Consider the following 15,814-nt stretch of genomic DNA (forward strand, 5'->3'; position numbering starts at 1 on the left):
GAGCTGATTCTAATATACTCCTAGGAGGTGTCTGCCTCACTTTAAGAATTCCAGAGCATACATACCTACACCTTTATTTGTAAGCAGTACTACTACTGACTCCTCCCAAATTTTGCTTGTGGTTCCAAAAGATTTTTTTTAATGTATATTATTCAAGGATTTTGCCACACATTTCTTTCATGCAAGACTCACATGAAAAAATATACATACATCATCACATACTTCAATATCAACTCATAATAAAGAAAACAGAATTAATAAAATATAATAGCTTGCTATTTTTTTCAGGTTTAATCTGTTTCATTCAGCAGCAGTAATGATCTCATCTCATATTCTACCACCTTGGAAAAATTTAAAGAAGAATTTTTTTTGGAGGACTGCTAATAAAATTATCATTGACATTTTAATTAAAAAAAGAAATGTATGTAGAATAAACAGGATGCTTCCTGAACAGTCTGCAGTGGCTGCTCCCTTGCTTCTTTGTACAGTCTTGGTAAATTATGCAGGCTCTCAGTAGATAGAGCAGCTGTATTTCACTGTCTTCGGTAATGTAATCTACATTTATCACTATTTTAATTAAGTGGATTCTTAGTTTGGTACTCTCATTGCAAAGAAAAAATACCTTATTCAATTTTTTTCTTTGGTAGACAGCATCTTGTCAGTCTTGTAAGCCAGAATGTAATTTTAAACATATTTCTTACTGTAACTGGTCATTATTTTAAGAGGAACTACCATATTTGGTTATTGAGAATTTGTACCTTTTCATTTTATCAGCTTAAAACATTGGTTCCTTCTTTATAGTGATAAAAAGATACTTTCACAGTTCTCAGTTTTAACCCAAGTGATATACAAAAAACAATAGGTGGTTTATTATAATATTACATTCAAGATTACTCAAAAGCAATACAAAACATAAATAAGAACTTTACAAGAAAAACAACAATTTACTGAATATTGAGAACATTCAATTCCAAAGTTCATTGTGTAAGATTATTTTTTATCATCAGGTCATTTGAAGTGTCTGAATCTAAACCAATCATTGTGGTATATAACAGCTTTTAATTATACTGAAGACACATTCCGAATACTTCTTATTCATTTCCTATAATTATTTGTAATTAAAACAATGTTTTACTTTAAAAAAATTAAATTGATGAATTATGCCAGAAGTATGTTTGTTTTAATTGGTTCACAGAGAAACAATTACTTTACTATTAGATGGCTTCATAAAGTTGCACTTTTATGCATGAGGTGTTTGAAATCAGTAAGGGAAGGCCTGGTGTTCAAAGAATTCTGTATTCAGCACACATTAACTGAACATCTTTTATGTGCCAGGTACAGAATTAGGCACTATGAATTCAAACCAAAGTAAGACAAAGCCCTTACACAAAAGGAGTGTATGTACACACACGTACATAAACTGTAAGGACCAAGTGGCTTTTAAACTCTGTTGCTTTGAAAGAGAGGGACTCTAGGTCCCCATCTCCATTTCAACCAAAAAAGCTCCATTTTCATCTATTTTACACACCAGTCTTCTTCGTAGCTGGTGGAGAAAACAAAAGCTGTATAGCTAGAAAACACAAATAAGGGCTCTAGACTATTATTACTAAGAACCCAGATAATTGAAAAAGTATCCTAAGTATTTTCAGATACACTAAAGGGGAAAAATTTTAAACTCCTGTTTTGTTTTGTTTTTTTGAGTTTTATCATCAGTTTTCACACATTGCTAAATACTGGTTTGTGGGTAAATTTCTACTAAAATAAAGATTCCAAAGACAGCTTATTTTAAAAGTTTGGGAATGAGGTGTGTAGGGAGTTGAGACTGAATGCACATCTCATTATGTTAGTTCACATTACCAAGAAATGCTATCCCAACTTTCAGATTCACATAAATCCAGAAATTGCCAGATAGGACTTTTAAAATCCAAAGTGCATTAAATGTGTTCTAGATTCTATATTAAAAACTTCCTCAGATAAAAGCCATTTACTTTCCCACTGTGGTTTTGGAAATAAAGTTACCATTTGAGCATCTCTAATGACCTGGCCAACTTAAATATATTATCTCTAATACCTCACAAAAACATCAAAGGATAAGGTGTTTTTACTCCCATTTTATAGAAGAGAAAGCAGCTGCAGGGGTTAAGACGTGTTCAATATTACATAGTGAATACATGAAGAAACCAGGACTTGGGCCCGTGATCTTTTTATTAAAACACTTTCAGAAGCAAAATAAACTTAATCCATAACATTTTTCTCTTCTAATCATATCTAAATATGATTCCTGCTTTTATTATCCATAACTTCACATCTAGTTGCATTTTACAATGAAAAACTTAGCTATCAATATATACAATCAAAAAGGTAACCAAAAAGAGAAAAAGGAAATCTAAAATTTAAATCAATGCTAATGAATGACAAACACTTTAGTCATTGTGTAACTCCCTTGGTTTGAATTTAAATAATGTCATGTATAACGACTGGGTTTCACAATTCAGGAATAAATAGAAGTCAAATTTTAGGCAGCCCACTCAGATTCTAATTAAATAGAAAAAACAAGTACAAAGGAACTAAATTATTTTTAAAAAATACTCCTATCAGAGTTCAACTTCAAAAAGATATTTCATGAACAGACAGTACAGCCTGTAAGATTCCATCTTTCTCAAATTACTCTGATGAACGTCTGATAAAACTTGAGATTTACCAAGGGATAAAAAGAAGAAGCAGCCAATAATTCTAAATGAAAACTCAGAATGGTCTTTTGTTCTCTTTGTTTAAAGTAAAGCCACTAGTGAAAAACAAGAATGTCTACTTAGGAAAAAGGGGTCTCTTGTTTGAACAAAAATTAAATTTAAATGTCCTGTTTCTTACCTGAACATTTGAAATCATCTACATCTGTCTAATGTTCACTAAAAGACTATAGAGGGCACTGTTGCATCAGCTTTGAAGCTTTACAATAGAGGCTGAGAAAAAGAAAACTGTCTATAACATGTAATTTCTCTAAAGGGTCAAATGCATGGAAATCTACTAAGCCTGATATAAAGGGGAAAGAACTAAAATGTATGTTTTTCTAAAACAGGCTGGACTTCAATGGGGGAAAAAACTTAACAAAAACAACTGTCAAATAGAGAAGACTGCACTGCACACATTTTGCATTTCCCTTTGTAGTGCTTTCATGAGAAAGGTAAGTAATCATAGCACCTCCTTATCCATTGGAAACAGCACCCCACTGCAGAATCCTCTTTACAATCAATAGGCAACTGAATGTGGCACCTCATGCAATTCTTCCATAATTCTATCAACAGAAAGAATGCAGTCTGTTTGCATACTTTTGTCTAAAAGACCAATTCCATTTGTCCCTTCTTGGATAAAATGACAGCTACAGATCAATCACTCTCACGTGAAAGTAAACATGCTACAAAAAAAAACAAAAAAAAAACAAAAGAAGAAGAATCAAAACTGAAATCCTCGCCTATTTTAAGCATAATTTTATTACACATAAAAACTCAAAGTAAAATAGAAAAAGCAAGTTTTTCCTCATAGACATGCATTTTGTGCTATTATACAACAGTATCAGGATGTAAAATAAATAAGTTACATCAAACAATAGTCATGAATCTTACCTTTACATATGGACAGCACTTAATTAAGTTCCATATATTTTCTATTCTCTCACATAATTCCTGTTACAATTCTTTGAAATTAAATCCAATTAAGTACAGTGTCAAAGGTACTTTCAGTACATATATACAATAAGACTAGCATACACAGCATAAAGCTTCTTATAATACTACCATTTAATTTTTTTCCACTAAAAATAATGCAAAAGTAAAAGGGAGTTAAATTATCTCATTTTGGTAATTTGAAAATAATATCCTGAATTGCTGAACCTCTGTAGAAACATGGACATTAGCTGTGAGAATTATAATATGATCAAACCAAGTAGAATATGTACAATGAAAAAAAAATCCTCCATTAATGTATATCTAATCATACCACCATATCACATATTGGATAAATCCACATTAATACAGGTACCATAATAAAACTAAGGCCTCTAATAAAGGAACCCAAATTCCCTGGAAAAACAGTATACAACTCATTTTGTCACTCTCAAAATTCCAGAGAGATTAGCACCTTCTCTGAAATCAAAGTGCAGAACTGTGAAAGTGTTACAAATTCTCCAGTAATATGTCAACCTACTCATAAATCAAAAGGAGGGGAAGGGGCTTTAGATGGTATGTAGATTTCATTTTATTACAAAAGCTCCAGTTTAACAAGTTATTTTCAGCCAATAAAAGTCAAAAAGTAAAGCAATGCTAAAGTGGCTAGTACTGACTCTGAGGCTTTACTTTTTAACTGAAATGCTACTTGAGTATTGCTCCCTTAAATTATTAATTTATGGGTTTTGCTTAGTTTCCTCCTAAGGCAAGGCAGTTCTAGTCACAGGTACATTGAATGCATGTAAATAAACAGAAAGCTTTTATAATGGTCCTGTAATTCACTAAACATAATAAACAACCTTTTTTAATGAATGTTGAATGTACAATCCTATGAACCAACTTTATATAAATAGACTATATCATCTAAAGAATCTGTAAGATCCTCTAGGAAGTAAATGAACAAATTCAGAAAAATTAAACATAGGCTGATTGCTTTTCATTGATCTAACAAAATTAATGCTTACAACAGAATCAAAGTGCTGATAGGACTATGAAGAGTTGTGTTCAATTTTGAAGAAATCTAAGAGAAAGTGTCATGAACTGTGAGAAAATGTATTTGCAATATTGCTTTTCATCTACCACAGGATGACTACAAAAAAAATCAGGCAATGTATTTTTAATATGCAGGATATTTAACTAGATATTTTAGTTTACTATTGAAGAAGAGCAGCATATTAAAATCAATTTTAGTCAACTTTAATTTATGCAAAGCTTGATTGTGAGCAATAGCTGCTAAAAGGATGCAACATTGTTGATTCATATACAAGCATTTTACTTAACTACATTGGATAATAGCAGTGCTCCTAAAGGAGTATAAAAAGCAAAGTGATTAGCAGTCATTAATGTTAATTAGTGTTCACATTACATTCCTTGGGATGAATCTCCTTTAAGTTGAATACATGGAAAGTTCATTTTTGAAGGTTTGCCAAATCTTGCCTAGGTAAGTACTAAACTAAGCCGTCAACTACCAGCAAGCAGAATGAAAAACAGGGACAGATCAGCATCCAATTAGTATGTCTAAGTTTTTAAACAGGAAAAGGGTTGAGGGGAATCAGTAAAACTGGAAACTCATACTTCACATTTTGCAATCTCACTGATAAAAGGAGGAAATGTGTGTTTATCAAACTTGCTGTGAGTGCACAGTTCATTTGGAGTCCTGTAAACAATCGCCTGGCTGCCCACTTTCAAATGCATGTGAAAATCTTGGAGATTCAGAGCATCATATTCAGCAAGCAAGGTCATTCTAGTGATGCCCTGGAAATGGGAAATTAGGAAAACGTGGCAATCAGAGGTTTAGGATTGACCAGAAAAAGCCCTGAGGCTGGATTACCATCTTTCACCACCAGTCAGGCTGTCTCTGCTTATTCAGTATTAATACAACAGGACTGCAAGTGAATGAAAATAACTCAATGCACCTAACTGGGACACTGGCTTTCTTGTTTAGAAAACAACAGACATTTGTCACAGCAAAAAAATTAAGTAAAATAAAATAAAATAATAAAATCTCTCACATACAAGCTTTCAAGAACCAACCCTGAAAGAAAAACAGGCTCCTCATGAACCTTCAAAAAGGACCTGGGGAATGGCTGACATCCTGTTGATTTGATAATCAATAGGAAAGATTTCCTTTCCCCCAATACCATTCAGTGCATTTTTAAGTAGATGCCAAATCTTCAACAAGGAAGCTTCAAAAGCAATATATCCTCATTAGAGAAAAACACCGAAAAATTAAATGTGCAAAAATTATACTCTTAATTCTGCCCACAGACTTAAAATATATCCTACAGATAATTTTTCTATGCATGTACTTACACAAATGCATTGTAGAAAAATGTTATTATACCATACAGAGCATTCCCTAATCTGTTTCCTTCTCTTAAAAATATATACAGATGTATTTCTGCAAGTTCATTTTTAATGCTATACAGCATCCCACTGTATAGATATGTCATAATTTACATTGCCAATGATTTCTAAATTTTCAAGTATATTTTAAATTATTTCCTTAGTTATAAATTCCCCAAAGTGGAATTGCTTATTACAGGAGTGTATTTTTTTGTGTTTGATGAGTTTTGCCAAATTACCGTCCAGAAATATTGAACCAATTTACAGGGCTGCTAGCAGTACATAAGGGTATCTGTTTCTTCAAAACCATTATTATTTCTTATTTCTGTCAAAGTGTAGCTGCATTTTTGAGTTAGTGAAGTTACACATTCTTTTTTTTTTTTTTTTTTTGGTCATTTGAATGTACTTCTCTGTGAAATGCCTGTTCATATCCTTAGCCCATTATCTCTATTTGGAGACATGCTTTTTATAATAATATCCAAAAATTAGTGAGGAATTCCCCATTGAATACTAATCCCACCAATAAGAGATTATTTTAAAGAAGAGATGTTAACTGTATGAACATTAAAAGATCCTATTAAGGTTGGTAGCTTTACATGAACCTATTTTATAACATTATATTATAGAACAAGACTTCCCAACTTATCCAAAAAGAAAAAGAAAAATTAAAAACTGAACTGGGATTGCAAATATATCTCTGAAGCTACCTTTGCTTTCCATAAATGGAAAAACTTATGATACTAAGCTGGCATCATCAGCAATGTTCTGTTGTTCTTTTTACTGTTCTGTTATTCCAAGGAACAATTATAAGCATACTAAAATTGGAATTGCTTTATTAGCTACTATGATAAGTCAAGAAAGGAGACTGTAACTATGGATGACAGACAAGTTCCTCATGCTATTATCTTGAATCAAGAATTTAATTAAAATGTGTCACTTTTGAGAAAAGCACTAAGTGTAAGACAAAAATGAAAAATGTCCCCCTCCACCCATCCAAATCAATTCAATTTAGGGCCTCTTCTCACAGAACCATGAAAGTTGCCAATACCCAAATTACTAATTCCTAATACATCTTCAGAAACAGGCTTAGATTAAAATGCAATTTCAAACCACAGATCGTGGTTTTTTTTTTCTTTTTCAAACAAACCAGTTTAAAAACTTGCAAAGCTATTACCTAAAACAGTGCTTCTCAAACTGTGTTATAAACCACTTTTTTTTTTTACATTTCCAACCCTTCAAAGATAGAAACTTGTAAAATACAACAAAATGAATTAAAAGATTAACATTTTTAAAAGATACAAAATACAAGGTCAAATTTTTATTATTAGATTCAAAAGAAACAAAATTACTCTTTCATATTACTATAAAAGTTTCTAAATGCTTATTTTGAATTTCTCTATATATCTTGTCTTGAACAAAACACTTCATGGACTAGCACCAGGCTAATCCCTAGACCACACTTTGAGTAGTAATTATTTAAAATTATTCTGAGAGCTCTGAAACAAGATCAGACACAGACAGATCACTTTGATCCCTGACTTAATAACCCTAACCCCTTATCAAACCATATGCCTTCCCCTCCGCCTCATTGTCAATTTACACATACCTTATTGGTTTATGTATGCACTATATATGTACTGTAATATAGTAATATCTGCATGAATTAACACAAATGCAATTCTGGGAGGCAGCAGAACATAGTGATTAAAAGTACATGTTCTACCACTTTTTAGCTGTGTAACCTTGGATGAGTTACTTAACCTCTCTGTATCTCAGTTTACTTATCTGCAAAGGGTTGATGTAAGGATAAAATTAGAATATATGTGTATAGAGCTTATAGCAGTTATCTAGAAGATAGTGCTACATAAATTGCAATTATAATTACAATAAGTCACAGAAAACTGAAAGAAAATCACATGGCTCTGGGTTTTCCAGCAATCAATATAAAGAGGAAACTTTAAGTTGCATGATTTACAGCGTTCATGCAATAAAAACTATCAAATAGTTATGTTAAGGCTAAACTATTACAAATACTAAGTCCTGAGAGAAATTTCTCCCTTGGATTACCATAAAGTTGACTATTTGATATAAAAATCCTTCACATCATCTCTGGAGGAAATACACAACAAAAAAATTTGAATACTTCTTATGGACAGGGCACCATGATGAGCACTGAAGAGTATTCAAATTTGAAAAACATTCAGTTCCTACCCTCATGAGGTTATAAACTAACAGGGAGAATATATTACAAATGCAAATAATTACATAAAACAAGTCATAATAAGTACCCACAAAAGTAAATAATGCAATAGAAATTTTTAAAAACAAAAGCTACACTTGAGGAAATCAAGAGCAATGCCTTGATTACATCCCTATTCTTCTCTCCTTCAACATAAAATCCAAAGGCTATTTAGAACAAGCCATGTCCCCAAGCCTATTGTCCCATCCCTGGCCCCCATCACTTCTTACCTGAAATTTAAGATGCTTTATACTCCCTTCTCTTTTAGATCTTAATGTCTTCCTTGAGAAATGCACAGCATACTCGTCTGCTCTCAGGATCTACCTCATGTGACTCTTCACTCTTTGGAAGCCCCAGAAGACCCATCTGATCTCATAGCACATAGCATAGCATGTGTTACAAGCTCAGGGGACAACTAATTATTGAGTATTCATGAATACTCCCAGGCTACAAGGCTTTCTGAAAGTGATGGTTAAAATAGTAGCTGTTAAACTTTTGAAAAGAACATAGTAAGACTATGACAAAAATTGGCCACCCTGGGCAACATGATGAAACCTCACCTCTACAAAAAAAATACAAAAATTAGCCGGCCATGGTTGCATGCACCTGTAGTCCCAGATATGCAGGACGCTGAGGCAGGAAGATGAACTGAGCCTGGGAGTTCAAGGGTGCAGTGAGCCACGATAGCTCCACTGCACCCCAGCCTGGGTGACAGAATAAGACCCTATCTCAAAAAACATTTTTCCTCTCCCAGAAAAATTTACACCTACAAAACATTTGCATAAAATTTCATAGTTCAAGAATACCTCTCCCTTCCAGATTAATAAATCCTATCTTAAAGTAGTGCATTATCCTAGATGAAATCTACTAGTCTGATCCTTATTATAATGCTTTCTGTAATTACGTCCAGGATATATGACCACTGAAAATCAGAAGAACTTGGATAAGGGTTAAAGATGTCACAAGAAATGGCTATCAGGCCAATAAAAATGTTTTAAAGAGATAAATCATGAAAGGCTCAAAGGGAAGATCATGGGTTATTTATCAAATGATCATTGTTCTCCCTCCCTTCCCACCTCCCTGCAAAATTACTACCTAGGAAAGAATCCGTAAGAGAACTGGTCTTAAAATAGACCATGGGGCATTTCAATGGCTCCAAAACCAATCTTATAGTAGGGAGTACAGAAGAATCAGCAAATTCTGCACAAGAAAGACAAATAAATGTCTGATAGTTTCTGCCTTTTCTGATTGTCAATGTCTTTTGAAAGATATCTATGGGGATCAATATTAGCATAATTTTGTCAAAGTTAGATAGGCTTAATTTTGGTAAGTTTAACAATTGCTCATCGAGCACCCACTGTGTACGAGTACACAAAGTGACCACGTGGCTCAGCACTGTATACAAATAAGTATGGCATAATTCTGCTGGTGTTGAGAGTTAATTGCTTTTACATACAGGAGCACAAATGATGGCCCCATTCTACTGCCTCTGAAGAAAGAACTGTTTTTTAAATCTTTTAATTCATATACTCCAAAAAGTCTGAATTTTCTAAACTTGGTTCACCTAACTTTCACACTTAAGTCCTTGCTTGAGGCTTTCTACAAATGAGTTCATACAAAATATACTGCTTAGATTTTAAAGACAAGCATGGAGTTAAATTCTAAAAGAACATGCCAAAATAAATTTTAATGGAAAAAAATCACCTATTAGAACCACTGATATCTTTAGGTTAACCCTCTTTATCTCCTTTTGAAATGGCCCATGCCTCAGTTAACTCACATAGGAAACTAGAAAGCATTAATTCTACATGTCTCTTGGAAGGCTGAATTATCTGACTGAAGAAGTCTAAAACAGGCTAAGGATGGCCCAAAATTATAGGCACCAAATGTAGAAGGATCAATTCAATCCAATCTATAATATAAATTTACCCCCACTAAAACCTCTTTCACAACTGAACGTTTATCATTCGTTTTCTTCTCTGCATTAACTTACTAATAAAGTCAAGAAAATTACACTCATCTCAATGCCCACTTGTAACTACCACTTAATATTAATATACTAATGGAATGCTGTATGCAATGAAAAAAAATGACTTTACTAGATTATTCTGGAAGCTAGAGAATGAAGGAGAAGACCTGAGGCTAAAATGAGGATGACAGGCTCTCAAATATATTCTCATTTGTTTTCAAAACAGATAAATAAGAAAAGAAGAAAGAGATACCCACATTTTATAGATGGAGCAACTGAATTCCAGAGGAGTAGAGTTTAACACAATGCCTATTATAGTCTAGGAGCTGTATGGAGTCTCATAGGAAATAAAAATAATGAAATATAATCCCTATTCCTCAAGTTACTTATAATCTTTAAACAAAACAAAACCCACAAGATAGATTTTCTTAAAATCTTAGCTTTGTGTATTAAACTAGACTAAGTACTACAAGAGAGTTAAAATGTGACATGAGGGTTTAAGGAAGGAAGATATTATATTCAGTGGGGTGAACTGAGGAGGACATCAGGAAAGAGATATCATGCAAAAGAAGGAGTTGGAAAGGAGAAGTTATTTCTGACTAAAACGCAGCACTATTCAGGAAAGGCATGGACCGTATGGGGAAGAATGAGTTCCGACAATAGTCTAGTTTAGATGGCACGTAGCTTACATGTAGGAGAATCTGAGAAAAGACAAAAAATAAACTGAAGTCATATTGCAGTGCACCTAGCAGAACGATGCTAAGCAATGAATGTCTGATGGAAAGAGAAATGTGATTAAATCTACACTTTAGAAAGATTCCTCTCTCACAGGAGTTTAAAGGATAAATTATAGGGGATGAGAGACTGGAGAAAGACCAGAAGTAAACTTTAAGGGGTCAATTAATTTATAGGTCTAAAGCCAGGTTCAATCTGTTATGATGCCCAAAAGGCTACAGAATCTATTAAGACTATATTTTGCTTGATTTACCGGCAAATGTGTAATTGCATATCAAAAATAATGCAATAATTTGAATTTCATCTATATAAATTATTTGAAAAGATACTAATATCATAGTTTTGCTTACTTCTGTGAATCCACACTAGGTGCTTTTAAGAAATAAGGATAAACTATTTCAGTTGATACAACCAAGACCAAAATGTATTAAGAACTGATTCTGATTAAATGAACCCATATTGATATGAAGCATCTTCTATTCAATCCTTTACCAGATTAAAGAGATGACAATGACAGGATGCTATAAAATATAGGATCATAATATTTATAATATATAGCTATCATAATTCATTTTGATTACCAATATCGCTCAGTAAAACTATATAAATTAGCTGTGGAATTGTCAGTTTACAAGGTACCTTATATAGACTTTTTGTCACTATTTATTTAAATACCATCATCAAGTCCAATCAATCTCTCTAGAATGTCCCCTTTTCACCTTTCCCCTTGGCATTCCCCATGTTCAGGCTCTCAAACCTTTCAGATACCTAGTATCTTAGTTTTTAATTTGAACTCACCTACAGAGTTGCCTATCTCTAATCCATTTCTTGTATTATATTAGTAGTTCACCCTGATGACCACAAGAATTTGTTGAACAGTAAGAAATATACAATGTAATAGCCTAGCATACGCATATGTGCCTGTACATATCTATTACGTTACACAAAACAATAATTAACCTATTACAATGCATATTGATATTATCTATTATATTCTAGGCTCTTGCATTTTTTATAAAAATAGTTGTCACTCATTAAATTGAGTTTAGAAAATACCATCTCAGGGGCTTTCCACCATCTGAACAATCCTTGACCTAAAATTTAAGACACTCTCTTTTTTGGTATTAATCAACCTTTACAGACTTATTTTCCACCACTCCTCAAACTTTAAACCCTAAATCAAATTGAACCACTCTATTTCCCTAATACATTTCATAATTTCCTGCTTACAAGACTTTGGCTAAGAACTTCCGGTAATTTTTAACATTCTCTTAGCCATCCTCCAATGTCTGTCATCTGTCAAAATCCAAATAATCTTCAAGGATATTGTATTAGTCTGTTCTCGCACTGCTACCTGAGGCTGGGTAGTTTTTAAAGAAAAGAGGTTTAATCAGCTCAGGTTTGCAGGCTGTACAGGCTTCTGCTTCTAGGGAGGCCTCAGGAAACTTACAATCATGGCAGAAGTCGAAAGAAAAGCAAGCACATCTTCACATGGCCAGCAGGAGAGAGTGAAGAGTGAGGTGCTAAACACTTTCAAACAACAAGATCTCAGGAGAACTCTATCATGAGAACAGCAAGGGGGAAGCCCACCCCATGATTTGATCACCTCTCACCAGGCCCCTACTCCAACACTGGGAATCACAACTTGACATGAGATATGGGTGGGGACACAGAGCCAAACCCTATCAGATATCAAATGTAACTTGCCCATAACGCCCTTCTGATCCCCCAAATGGGATTTTTTCACCCTCTGAACTCCCATAACCCTTTAGTTGCATGCTCTAATGGCAACTGTACCTTGTATTAATTTCTCTGTATAAGTGTCTTATCCTTTCAGGGTCTGTGAGGGCAAAGACTATGCCTCATACATGTTTTTACTTTCCAATACTGGTACATTATAAGCATTGAATTAATGTTTGACAAATGAAAGAATAAGAGGATTAAGAAAAATAGTAGTAGCATACATTAAAATCAACAGGAATGTCAAGGTCAACTAAGACATTTATTCAACTCCTCTTTATTCACTCAATATTTTCCCACATCAGCACATCACAGAACAAGCTCCTATTAAACCATTTCTAACCAAAAATAAAAAATAAAAAAAAACACTAAGTATTTATCAATAATATCATTTTTTTTGACGATTTAATGATTTAGGCACGACAAATATGCTGACTGAAGATGTTCCCAATTTAAAAGGTAAAGTTGTTATAAAAAAATCAGTTCAGGATCTATTATTGTGTGACCACAAATAAAGTCATGTGCTTCAAAAATATACAACAACAAAGAAATAAAGCAATTTATGCTTATCAATCTGGATAATGTATTCTCAGTCATTTAATAAGAATATGGCAAAGACAAGATAAACTACAGGCCTAGAAATGAAGTAGAAGACTATAGGACAGAGACTTACACCTAGCATCCCAGACAACACAACTCCAGAAGGAGACATCTACAAAAGGTTTCTTTAAAAATAAATGGTAGCATAGGAAAAACAAAACAAAAACAAACAAACAAAAAAACCCAACCAGTCAACAGGATACAGACACTAGAGATTGAAAATATAAAGAAAGATATTTGAAAGAAAAGTCAAAAATACTCAACACAATGTAAGATATATAGAGTAGATGATAAGATAGGAAGAAATCCATAGTTTGTAGAAGAAAGGAATATAGGATATAAAAATAAGTCAGTTGATAAATTTATAGAGAGGCACTGACTCTGGGAAAAGATAAATACAAAGGGTATACATGTGCATGTGCAATATATACACACAATCACTGATACCAAGTGGAGAAAAGTTCAAGGTTGAAGAGACAGAATGATGATTTTGCCAAAATGAGGGAGTCACATTTTCTAGGCTTTAGGGGGAATTTATAGATGAAGGCTTTGAACCTGTGATAAGTTTAGGAACTATAGTAATTGACAAATATGGTACAACATTTTATTTCCAGACAGATCTTCCTTCATGTACTTCCTCATGCACGCTTGACTTTATCATCTGAAAGGACCAGATGTGGCACAGCCTCAATAAAGCTGCACCTGGGAGTGAAAATGACACTGGTCTGTTCCAATGCCAATTCTTCCTGTTTAGAGTCCAGAGTCAATACTAGAAAAGCATTTCTTATGCCAAGGGACCAGGTTTAATATCCAAAATCCTGGGAACTGAAAGGGCTTGAGGCAAGCTGTGCAGTTCTGAGGAGCCAGGAGCAATTTGTACAGGGCTGTGTGCCTGTTTAACTAATGCTATGTCTGCGTCCTCCCTGAAAATCTTAAGTCCATCTTATATGTTTCTCCCATTCCAAATCCTTCAGATTTGCCTCAGAGCCACCCAACAATCTCAGGTTTTTCCCTCATGAAGTGAAGTGAAAAGAGATTCACAAAGTAATTTTCCACCATAATCAGGTTTTCTAAGATGCATATACTAAAACTAATTAGAAAGAGTTTCTGCTCAGCATTTTCATAAAGTAGTGTGCAGAAGGAAACTATTCTTGGTACAGTTAGTGGTTACACTGATAGGATGCCTTATTTTGAAAACTTCCACTATGATGCCCATTCCATTTAAGCTTCTAAATAGGAAAACAAAAGACAAAATGAATTTGCCAATGGTTTTATATCACATATCATAGTAACATGGCTCCCCTGTATCCGATAATTACATTAAAAAAATTTTTTTTGAGGCAGAGTCTCACTCTGTCGCCCAGGCTGTGGAGTACAGTGGTGTGATCTCAGCTCACTGCAACCTCTGCCTCCCAAGTTCAAACAATTCTCTCGCCTCAGCCTCCTGAATAGCTGGGATTACAGGCACGCACCACCACGCCCAGCTAATTTTTGTATTTTAGTACAGACGAGGTTTCAATATGTTGGCCAGGCTGGTCTTGAACTCCTGAAAGTGGTCTGCCCGCCTCGGCCTCCTAAAGTGCTGATATTACAAGGCAGGAGCCACTGTGCCCAGCCTAAGTTGGAATAATTTGATACATTTTTTTACTAAACTTATTCTTTTAATATTCAATATTCTTTTAAGAGCCTCCATATGTCAGGAACTCTGCTAGGACAGATACAAAAATGAACAGCACTATCATGTTTTTGAGGTCTCACAATCTAGCAAAAGCGACAGCCACAAAAACAAGCCTAATGATGCAATGAGACCCACAGTAGAGTTATAGACAAGCTGCCATGGAACAGAAAGGAGGAAGGTAAATTAGGGCAGGTTTCACAAAAGAATATGAGGTGAGAAGGGGTTCTTCAGGAGGACAAAGAGATAAGCATAAAGAAAAGCACAGCCGAAGACTCAGACATGAAAAGCAATCTCCTAGAAACTAATTAGTTCATTATAACTTGATCCCAGAGGTGCTTGTGTGAGAATAGCAGGATCAGACTAGTAGGACTGCCAGGCCCTCTTCTTAAAGAGCCTTCTGTGTTAGCCTAATGTGTTTGGACTATATCTTAATCATGGGTCATTTAAGCATTTATACAGATCAGCTGCCAACAACTTGGTAGACGAGGTGGATGGAGCATAGGGCAATACTGAAGGCAAGTTGATTAGGAGGCTCTCGCATAGTACAGATGAAAAACCAGTAGTGGTGAGAATGAAGTCAAGGGGTCAGATTTTAGAAGTCATACCAGCATTATCAATAGGTGCTGGAGCTATAATGGTGATGGTTGAGGGGGATGGAGTGGAGAAAGGGACTGAGAAAAAATGGAAGTCTCACAGTAGGGCCTAGGTTTTGACTTAGATGATGAGGTAAATGATGATGCTTTTAATTAAGGAAATACAGAATATGGAACAAGTTTGTGTAGGAAGAT

At 34.2% G+C, this 15,814-nt stretch overlaps 1 protein-coding gene across 12 annotated transcripts in view; it reads right to left on the reverse strand.

The window, feature by feature from the left end:
• The window catches only part of DPH6 (diphthamine biosynthesis 6), a 401,189-nt gene that overhangs the window by 371,828 nt on the left and 13,547 nt on the right, over nucleotides 1-15,814 (reverse strand). The window contains exon 4 of one of the 12 annotated variants that reach the window (NM_001141972.2): nucleotides 2,188-5,474. The exons of the other annotated variants lie outside the window; for them this stretch is intronic. Within the exon in view, the coding sequence (NP_001135444.1) occupies nucleotides 5,289-5,474 (186 nt within the window). The 3' untranslated portion in view covers nucleotides 2,188-5,288. Of the gene's footprint in view, nucleotides 1-2,187; nucleotides 5,475-15,814 lie in introns of those variants that run through there. 12 annotated transcript variants of the gene reach the window in all.

This window comes from Homo sapiens, chromosome 15 (genome assembly GCF_000001405.40).
Source record: "Homo sapiens chromosome 15, GRCh38.p14 Primary Assembly".
NCBI classification, from domain to species: Eukaryota; Metazoa; Chordata; class Mammalia; order Primates; family Hominidae; genus Homo; species Homo sapiens.